General features: G+C 49.8%; 3 annotated features.

Annotated features, from left to right (window-relative positions):
• Positions 2362-3274: an enhancer, noted in NCBI's record as "H3K27ac-H3K4me1 hESC enhancer chr10:43857038-43857950 (GRCh37/hg19 assembly coordinates)". NCBI's record gives its function as "activates a minimal SCP1, AML or CMV promoter by ChIP-STARR-seq in naive H9 embryonic stem cells {active_cell/tissue: H9 hESC(naive)}" and the evidence as "EXISTENCE:reporter gene assay evidence [ECO:0000049][PMID:30033119]".
• Positions 2675-2764: an enhancer, noted in NCBI's record as "active region_3289". NCBI's record gives its function as "activates an Ori minimal core promoter by ATAC-STARR-seq in GM12878 lymphoblastoid cells {active_cell/tissue: GM12878}" and the evidence as "EXISTENCE:reporter gene assay evidence [ECO:0000049][PMID:35858748]".
• Positions 8614-9321: an enhancer, noted in NCBI's record as "H3K27ac-H3K4me1 hESC enhancer chr10:43850991-43851698 (GRCh37/hg19 assembly coordinates)". NCBI's record gives its function as "activates a minimal SCP1, AML or CMV promoter by ChIP-STARR-seq in primed H9 embryonic stem cells {active_cell/tissue: H9 hESC(primed)}" and the evidence as "EXISTENCE:reporter gene assay evidence [ECO:0000049][PMID:30033119]".

Raw genomic sequence — 10216 nt, 5'->3', positions numbered from 1 at the left:
GAGTTCATCCAAACACTCCTAATGGATGAAAAAACACTTTTTTTTTTGAGACAGGGTTTCACTCTGTCACCCAAGCTGTTGTGCAGTGGCACAATCACGGCTCATTGCAGCCTCCACCTTCCAGGCTCAAGTGATTCTCTCACCTTGGCCTCCTAAAGTGTTGGGATTACAGGTGTGAGTCAACACCCCCAGCCAACACTTTTTTTTTTTTTGAGACAGAGTTTCTCTTCTTTGCCCAGGCTGGAGTGCAATGGGTGCGATCTCGGCTCACTGCAACCTCTGCCTCCCGGGTTCAAGCAATTCTCCTGCCTCAGTCTCCCAAGTAGCTGGGATTACAGGCACGTGCCAGCATGCCTGACTAATTTTTGTATTTTTAGTAGAGACAACAGGGTTTCATCATGTTGGCCAGGCTGGTCTTGAACTCCTGACCTCAAGTGATCCGCCCGCCTTGGCATCCCAAAGTGCTGGCGTAAGCCACCGCGCCTGGCCCAGCCAACACTTAATATCCAAAACTTTTAAAGTTTTCTACACCATTCTGTGGTCATTTATTTATAAATACTGGGTTTAATACCTAAGAAGATATGTTCATTAACCCAGGGACTGACTTTGCATCACTTCCAGTGTAAAAGGTGTTGCTGCAGATTGAGTGTGTGGCCAGAAATTGGGGGCCTCTCAGAGGGCACACAGTGCTAAGGCATGGTACACACCGTGGATGAGGTGATGTACCATTGTGCTTGCAGAAGGTACACTCAAAGACCTGGATTCCCAATCTCTGGATCTGTCCAAGCCTCAACTTGTCCCCTGCCTTGGATGGGTATCAATACCACCTGGCTGAGGTGAAGTTTTCTTTCCACCTGTTAAAGGTTATAATACCTCACAGCAATAGGAATAGGAATGGTGGATCCCTGAAGAGGGCAGAAGTTGTTGCGGGGTGGGGATGGGGGCAGGCAAAAATGCTAGGGCCTTCTGGAGAAGTGCATCTGAGGTTCCTTTTGGAGACCTTCCAAAGCAAAGGTGGCTTTTGGGACTTACAGGACCCCTTTCCTACGAATGCCTGCTTTCTTGAGGCTTAGTCTCCGGCTTAGCCTGATGGGCCAGAACTCAGCTGAGAAGGCTGGAAACTTGGGCGGAGCAGGCTGCCCTGTGCTCGCTACCAGGGCAGTGTGACCTTAGCAAGACATTTCTCTTCTCTGGAACAGTTTCCCTCTGGGGTCTCTCTCATGGTGGCCCCCTTTATCCTAGGTTACCAATCTTACCATGTATGTCTCAGGGCGCTTCCCAACTACAGTAACAGCTCTTGTAAACTGAGCAGTCACTCAACTGAGCCCTGTCTTCTGAGTTCATGCAGCATAATCAGATTCAAAGTAGACTCAGTCACAGTTCCCATTTTACGGATGAGCAAACAGGCAGAAAGAGGTAAGTCGGGGGCGCACGCAGCAAGTTAACAGCCTGAATTTGACTCCAAAGCTTGTGCTGTGAACGGTGCTTCTGAATCTTGAGGTTAACAAGCTTTCTTCACAACCTGTCCTGGGAGGGATTAATTCCACAAATGTGTACTGAAGGCTGAGCGTGGACCACCCCCTGCCCCTTGCTGCCTGTGCGTGGTCATTTTTTTTTTTTTTTTTTTTGAGACGGAGTCTTGCTCTGTTGTTGTCAGGCTGGAGTGCAGAGGCGCAATCTCGGCTCACTGCAACTTCTGCCTCCCAGGTTCAAGCGATTCTCCTGCCTCAGCCTCCCAAGTAGCAGGGGCTACAGGCGCGCGCCACCACGCCCGGCTAATTTTTAGTAGAGATGGGGTTTCACCATGTTGGCCAGGATGGTTCTCCATCTCTTGACTTGGTGGTCCACCCAACTCGTCCTCCCAAAGTGCTGGGATTACAGGCGCAAGCTACCGCACCCAGCTTAGACTGTCTGTTTTGAGGCAGAGGAGGAAATCCGAGGTCCCTTGCCCCGAGGCCTTTCCCAGCTGTCTCCACGAGGACTACTGGACTCCCGCCTGGACCCCCGCCCTGTGAGTGTCCCCTGCTCTTCCCGTCTCTCCGCAGATTCCTCGGGCCCATGGATGTGGAGCCCACTCCCTTGGAGGGCCCTGGGGAGGGAGGCAGCCGACTCCGCTCACCCCCTGCCTGTGCTAGGCAGGCGAGCAGCGTCAGGCGCGGCTGCTGTCCTAGGGCTCCGCCTTAGGCTGACTCCCGCGTGTAGGGCAGAGATGGGACAGGGCCCTTAGCGCAGGGGGCTTTGGGCCCTGAGGACAAGGCGGCACGGAAATGGGGCGGAGATCTCCCCGGCAGCGACGACCCTCGGGACTCTAAAAGTTAGGCCCACTTAGGCCGCCAGAAACGACCCCACGGCCTCTGGGAGGCCTTCCCGCAAGGGGCCGCGAGAGAGCCAGAGGAAGGAGGACTGCGCTGGCCGCCAGCCAATCAGCACCAAGGAATGTCTATGAGGCTGGCTCGCGGGAGAAACCGCCAGTGAGGCGAGGGCCCAGGAGGTGTGGGCGGGGCTTTCCTCCGCGGAAGTGGTCCCGACCCCCTTCGCGTGGATTGGCTGCTCCCACTCACCTGCAAGCCCCTGCTCTACCGCGCTTGCGCAGTCGTTTTCCGTGTAACGCGCGTCTCGGGTTACTTCTTTGCTTGAGTCTCAGTCCATTTGTTTACCCATATGTGCTGCGCTATGTCGTGATGGTGGCGGTCTTCGGTAACGGGGACCTTGGAGGCTGGGAGGGATAACTGGACGTGAAGGGCCAGCACTGGGGGCGAGCTCAGGGCGGTCAGGGCGGAGGGATGGGCGCGAAGAGTGAGGCCTGCAACCCCGCAGGGGGCCCGGGACCCTGGGGAGTTTCCTGCTGGGGTGAGACAGTTGTTAGGTTTGCATTTCAGAACGTTCTGGTAGGGGCTGTGTAGCAGGGTGAGAATGAAGACCTGTGCAAGAAGAGAAGCCGAAAGGGTTCAAGATGGTAGGCAAAGTCATTTGTCATCAACGTTTGCTCGTTCCGCACCTGGGAGAACGCGAGTGCTTTCCTTCTACTGCACAGGTCACCTCTTAGCCCCCTGTTGCAGCTCCTACTCATGCTTCTCCTATACCAGACTTCTTAGCTCTTGGGCACCTCCCTTTCATTTCCTGCAGGCACTTCACAGTCAACAACTGTTAAACTTTTCCGTTCCCCCACCATCTCTGACCTTTCAGAATTTCCCATCTCAGGTGGGTCTCTTTCCCACGTGGTCCCACAGGCCACCACTAAACCCAGTCATATGGAGATATCTGCTGAAATGTGTGCCAGCTCCTCAGGATATGACCCCCTCAAGGACATGGACAGTGGTCCAAAGTCACAGCGCTCAGCATACAGTCTGACTCCACCAAAGGGAAGTTAGGCAACTCGGTTCCCTGTCCCCCCCGCCCCCCCAGTGAGAGCCCATCCTTCTAGTTCTTCCATATCTCACGTATTCAATCTTTTCTCTCCATCCTAATTCTCATCCTCTCCCAAGGACCACTGTGAGCCATTTCCACTCTGTCCAATTCAACAATTGCCTCACCTGGGAAGCCACCTTTCCTGTTCACCTGCCTCCCCTCTGGGAGGCCCACCTTTCCCAAACCCCACATCACAGGTATGGGTGTATCTGTCTTGACCACTCACCTCCCTTTTCTCCCAGGGCTGTGATTTCAGGTCACTCAGCTTCCTGTCCCAGAGACCTTGGCACATGGATGGAATTCATTGTGGGAACTGGATGGATGTGTGAATTAACTATTGAGTAAAATGATTGATAAATCACTTGAGTAGAAAGGGCGCCATGGCTCACGCCTGTAATCCCAGCACTGGGAGGCCTAGGCAGGTGGATCCCTTGAACCCAGGACTTCGAGACCAGCCTGGGCAAAATGACAAGACCCCGTCTCAATAAAAATAAATAAATTGGCCGGGCGCGGTGGCTCACGCCTGTAATCCCAGCACTTTGGGAGGCTGAGGCTGGTGGATCATGAGGTCAAGAGACCGAGACCATCCTGGCCAACATGGTGAAACCCCGTCTCTACTAAAAATACAAAAACTAGCTGGGCGTGGTGGCGCACCTGTAATCCCAGCTCCTCGGGAGGCTGAGGCAGGAGAACTGCTTGAACCCGGGAGGCGGAGGTTGCAGTTAGCTGAGATCGCGCCACTGCACTCCAGCCTGGCGACAGAGCGAGACTCTGTCTCAAAAATAAATAAAATAACTGAGTAATATTTGGGTGGATGGATACACTTTTGGATGGATAATTAGGTCTTAACCCCCTCAGCAGGCTCTGAGATTTGGCTGCTCCCTCCTGGAAACTCACCTCTCTGACCTCTCTCCTTAGCTGGAGACCACCAGGCCCACTGCCTGCCTCCTGTCTCCACATGCATGTCTCATAGTTTGCTGAAACTTGACATTTCCTGAAATAAATACTTGGTTTCTTCTTTAAACCACCCCGCCTACTCTCTGTGCTCCATCCAAGTGGTAAAGCCGAAGGCCTGAGCATCATCCTAGACTTTATTTGCCTCCAAATCCCCATAACCAATCAAACAATTCTTGTCCATTCTGCCTCCTAAACAGCTCTGTGACTCACCCCTTTCTGTCCTCCTGTGACACACGTAAAGTGCAGTACAAGCTTTGGCATTCTAGGCCCCGCTTCAATCCCTTCTTGGGCAGTCTCCCTCAGCCCTCTCTTGCTGAACCCTAGAAGCTCCTGCTATTTCGTTTCTGGGCCACTCTTCTATTCCCGTATTTATGTAATAGAGTAGTCTTTGAATGTTTGCTCTCATTTCTGAAAAACCACATATCCATTCCACAGTTTTATGTTGCTAAAGTTTCTCATCATAAGCTCAAATAGTTGCAAAAGATACAATTTCTGGTATGTTTTAATATTTATATTTTAAAGTAAAATGGCTACATGAGTTGTAATATATCTAGTGGAATCTGAACACCATACATACCATTTTTTTTTGAGATGGAGTTTCGCTCTTGTTGCACCATACTATTTTTATTCCAAATCTCCATTTGAAGATTTACTTAACTCTTGTTTAATATTAGTTACTCCATATTGCCGCCTCCTTTTTTTTTTTTTTGGCCTGAGTTGAGTCTATTTCCTTCCTCTGTCACCCACCGAACTTAACCTAAGTAATATATTTTTATTCTTGGAAGTCTTCTATTTTTGAGACTGAGTCTTGCTCTGTCGCCCAGGCTGGAGTACAGTGGTGCGATCTCGGCTGACTACAACCTCCACCTCCCTGGCTCAAGCAATTCCCCTGCCTTGCTTCAGCCTCCTGAATAGCCGAACATCACCATGTCCGGCTAATTTTTTTGTATTTTTTGTAGAGATGGGGTTTCACGATGTTGGCCAGACTGGTCTCAAACTCCTGACTTCAGCCAATGTGCCCATCTGGGCCTCCCAAAGTGCTGGGATTACAGGCGTGAGCCACCGCACCCGGCCATTCTTGGAAGTCTTTTACTGGCCACATGTTGAAACACTCCTCTTCCTTTCTGTGTCTCCCTGGCACATCACCTGATGCCTGCAGTCACTGAGAGCCTGTTCCCTGGCACCTTGTTTTCAACATACAGGTTGAGCATACCTAATCCAAAAATCCAAAATTTGTCTGGGTGTAGTGGCTCACACCTGTAATCCCAGCACTTTGGGAGGTCAAGGTGGGTGGATCCCTTCAGCTCAGGAGTTTGAGACCAGCCTGGGCAACATGGTGAAACCCCATCCCTACAAAAAATATAAAAATTAGCCAGGTGTGTTGGTGCACACCTGTGGTCCCAGCTAGTCGAAAGGCTGAGGTGAGAGGATCCCTTGAACCCAGCAGATCAGGCTTCATTGAGCTGTAATTGTGCCACTGCACTCCAGCCTAGGTAACAGAGTGAAACCCTGTCTCAAAAAAAAAAAAAAAAAAAAAATCTGAAATCCAAAAATGCTCCAAAATCCAAAACTTTTTGAGCACCAGCATGACGCCACAGGTAGAAAATTCCACACCTGGCCTCATGTGACAGGCCATATTGAAAAGTCAAAACTTTGTTTCATACACAAAATTATTTGAAATATATAAGATCTGCTGGATGCGGTGGCTCACACCTATAATCCCAGCACTTTGGGAGGCCGAGGAGGGCAGATCACGAGGTCAGGAAATCGAGACCATCCTAGCTAACACGGTGAAACCCCGTCTCTACTAAAAATGCAAAAACAAAATTAGCCGGGCATGGTGGTGGGCCCCTGTAGTCCCAGCTACTCGGGAGGCTGAAGCAGGAGATCAGCGTGAACCCGGGAGGTGGAGCTTGCAGTAAGCCGAGATTGCGCCACTGCACTCCTCCTGGGCGACAGAAGGAGTCTCCGTCTCAAAAAAAAAAAAAAAAAAAAAGAAATATATAAAATCATCTTCAGGCTATGTGTATAAGGTATATATGAAACATAAATTATTTAGACGTGGGTCCCATTCCCAAGATATCTCATTATGTATATGCAAATATTCCAAAATCCAAAAAATTCCACAATCAGAAATATCTCTGGTCCCAAGCATTATTTTTTTTTTTTTGAAACAGAGTCTTGCTGTGTTGCCCAGGCTGGAGTACAGTGGCACGATCTCAGTTCAGTGTAAACTCTTCTTCCTAGGTTCAAGTGATTATCCTGCCTCAGCCTCCCTTATCTTGGAATTACAGGAGTCCACCACCACGCCTGGCTAATTTTTGTATTTTTAGTAGAGATGGGGTTTCACTGTGTTGGCCAGGCTGCTGGTCTTGAACTCCTGACCTCAAGTGCTCGGCCAGCCTTAGCCTCCCAAAGTGCTGGGATTACAGGCATGAACCACTGCGGTGGGCCCATTTTCTTTCTTTTTTTCTTTTTTGAGACGGAGTTTTGCTCAGTTGCCCAGGCTGGAGTGCAAGGGCGTTATCTCGGCTCACCGCAACCACAACCTCCGCCTCCCGGTTCAAGCGATTCTCCTGCCTCAGCCTCCCGAGTAGCTGGGACTACAGGCGCCCGCCACTGTGCCCGGCTAAGTTTTTGTATTTTTAGGAGAGACGGGGTTTCACCATGGTCTCGATCTCCTGACCTCGTGATCCACCCGTCTCGGCCTCCCAAAGTGCTGAGATTACAGGCGTGAGCCACCATGCCCGGCTAATTGTGTATTTTTAGTAGAGATGGGGTTTCTCCATGTTGGTCAGGCTGGTCTCGAACTCCTGACCTCAGGTGGATCTCCTGCCTCGGCCTCCCAAAATGCTGGAATTACAGGCATGAGCCACCGCACCTGGCCCCATTTTCTTTTTTTAATACAGAATCTCACTCTGTCACCCAGGCTGGAGTACAGTGGTGCAGTCTCAGCTCACTGCAACTTCTGCCTTTGGAACTCATCCTCCCACCTTAGTCTCCTGAGTAGCTGGGACTACAGGTATGTACCACCACGCCCAGCTAATTTTTTTTTTTTTTTTTTTTTTTGAGACGGAGTCTCGCTCTGTCGCCCAGGCTGGAGTGCAGTGGCACAATCTCGGCTCACTGCAACCTCCGCCTCCCAGGTTCACGCCATTCTCCTGCCTCAGCCTCCTGAGTAGCTGGGACTACAGGCACCTACCACCACGCCCGGCTGATTTTGTTTTTGTGTTGGGTTTCACTGTGTTAGCCTGGATGGTCTTGATGTCCTGATCTCGTGATCCGCCCGCCTCAGCCTCCCAGAGTGCTGGGATTACAGGCATGAGCCACCGCACCCAGCCAGCTAATTTTTTTTTGAGATGGAGTTTTGCTTAGTCGCCCAGGCTGGAGTGCAATGGTGCGATCTCGACTCACTGCAACCTCCACCTCCTGGGTTCAATCAGTTCTCCCACCTCAGCCTCCCGAGTAGCTGGGATTACTGGCGCCTGCCATCATGCCAGGCTAATTTGTATTTTTAGTAGAGAGGGGGTCTCACCATGTTGGCCAGGCTGGTCTTGAACTCCTGACCTCAGGTGATCCACTTTGGTCCTCGGCCTCCCAAAGTGCTGGGATTACAGGTGTAAGCCACTGTGCCCAGCCTAATTTTTGCATTTTTAGTAGAGATGGGGTTTCACCATGTTGAAACTGCCTAGGCAAAATTATGACTGAGACAGTGAAAGAGATCTAACTTAACCGACTACTTCTTGCTTCTAACTGCCAAGCTGCCTTTGTTCATTCCTGGATGTGGGCTGAACTAACTTTGGGAAAAACTTAGTTTGTAGTTTGTTTGTTTATTTATTTATTTATTGAGATGAAGTTTCGTTCTTTTGCCCAGGCTGGAGTTCAGTGGCAGGACCTAGGTGAGATCTCAGCTCACCACAACCTCTGCCTCCTGGGCTCAAGGGATTCTCCTGCCTTAACTTCCGGAGTAGATGGGATTACAGGCGCCCACCACCACACCCAGCTAATTTTTTTGTATTTTTAGTAGAGACGGGGGTTTCACCATGTTGGTCAGGCTGGTCTCAAACTCATGACCTCAGGTAATCCACCTGCCCCCTAAAGTGCTGGGAGGTGAGCCACCTCGCCAGGATTGCTTGCCGTTTATAGTTTAAACAAAGATGGTAACAGCCCTTTCTCAAAGCAGACTTCCTTCTTGCCTGGGGACTAGGCTAACATTAGCCACAGAATTAGAAATAATGGTTTAGGAGTCATGCAGCTGGAGGCTACAAGATTCTGACCCTCCCTAAACTGCTGCTAAGATCAGTGCTTGAGATATTTTACAGACCTGCACTTGTGGATCAGCTGGCACCACCCAGATCAATAAACTGGCTTGTCTGACATTGTGTTCCACACCCAGGAACTGACTCAGTGCTAGAAGACAGCTTCTACTCCCTATGATTTCATCTCTGACCAATCAGCACTCCTGGCTCACTGGCTCCCCCTCTACCCACCAAGTTATCCTTAAAAACTCTGATCCCCGAATGCTCAGGGAGACTGATTTGAGTAATGATAAAACTCCAGCCACCCACACAGCTGGCTTTGCATGAATTACTTTTTCTCTATTGCAGTTCCTTGTCTTGATGAATTGGCTCTGTCTACGCAGTGGGCAAGGTGAACCCCTTGGGCAGTTACAGTGTTGGCCCAGATTACTTGAGGTCAGGAGTGCAAGACCAGCCTAGCCAACAGGGTTTGTGTGTGACTATGCCCGGTTAATTTTGGTATTTTTAGTGGAGACTGGGCCACCTGCCTCAGCCTCCCAAAGTGCTGGGATTACAGGCATCAGCCACTGTGCCTGGCTCCTTTTTTTTTTTTTTTTTTTTTTTTTGAGAAGGAGTTTCGCTCTTGTTGCTGAGGCTGGAGTGCAGTGATGTGATCTCGGCTCACTGCAACCTCCGCCTCCTGGGTTTAAGCTATTCTCCTGCCTCAGCCTCCTGAGTAGCTGGGATGACAGGCATGTGCCACCACGCCTGGCTAATTTTGTATTTTTAGTAAAGACGGGATTTCTCCATATTTGTCAGGCTGGCCTTGAACTCCCGACCTCAGGTGATCCACCCGCCTTGGTCTCCCAAAGTGCTGGGATTACAGGAGTGAGCCACTGTGCCTGGCCCATTTAAAAATTCTTAGTTGGCTTTGTGATTCTCAAATAAGGCAACACTTCCTTTCATAAAATGGAATAAATGTTCCAGGGAACTGAGCAGAGGAGGTTGGTTTTATAGACCAAAATGGCTAAAGAAAGCAGAAACAAAAAAGAAAAAGTGAATTGGTCGTTTTAAGGTTGCTTTCCTCCTAAGGCAAGAATGAGACAGAACAATAGAAAAAAGAACTGATTGACTAACCTCGGGTCCCTTTTTGTTGTAAGGATTAAAGGCAGAGGGAACTTCATTATCATGCCACTGAAGCTGGCCTGTTTGGGAAGTTGGACTGTTATCTCTCTCCTGATGGAAGGCCAGAGGTGACTCTGTTTTGGAGTAATTGTATTAGAATGAAAATGCTTTGAAAGTTATGTTAGATAAAAATTATAGGAGACCCCTGTGTTTTTTTTTTGTTTGTTTCTTTTTCTTTTTCTTTTTTTTTTTTTGAGGCAGAGTTTCAAGTTTTGCTTTTGTTGCCCAGGCTGGAGTGCAACCTCTGCCTCCCGGGTTCAAGCGATTCTCCTGCCTCAGCCTCCTGAGTAGCTGGGATTACAGGCATGTGCCACCACGCCTGGCTAATTCTTTTTGTATTTTTAGTAGAAACGGTTTCTCCATGTTGGTCAGGCTGGTCTCGAACTCAGGTGATCCACCCAGGAGACCCTTGTTTAGGACTAAGCTGA

The sequence above is a fragment of the Homo sapiens genome, chromosome 10 (genome assembly GCF_000001405.40).
Source record: "Homo sapiens chromosome 10, GRCh38.p14 Primary Assembly".
Classification (NCBI taxonomy): Eukaryota; Metazoa; Chordata; class Mammalia; order Primates; family Hominidae; genus Homo; species Homo sapiens.
This window is presented reverse-complemented; position numbering and strand designations above follow the sequence as displayed.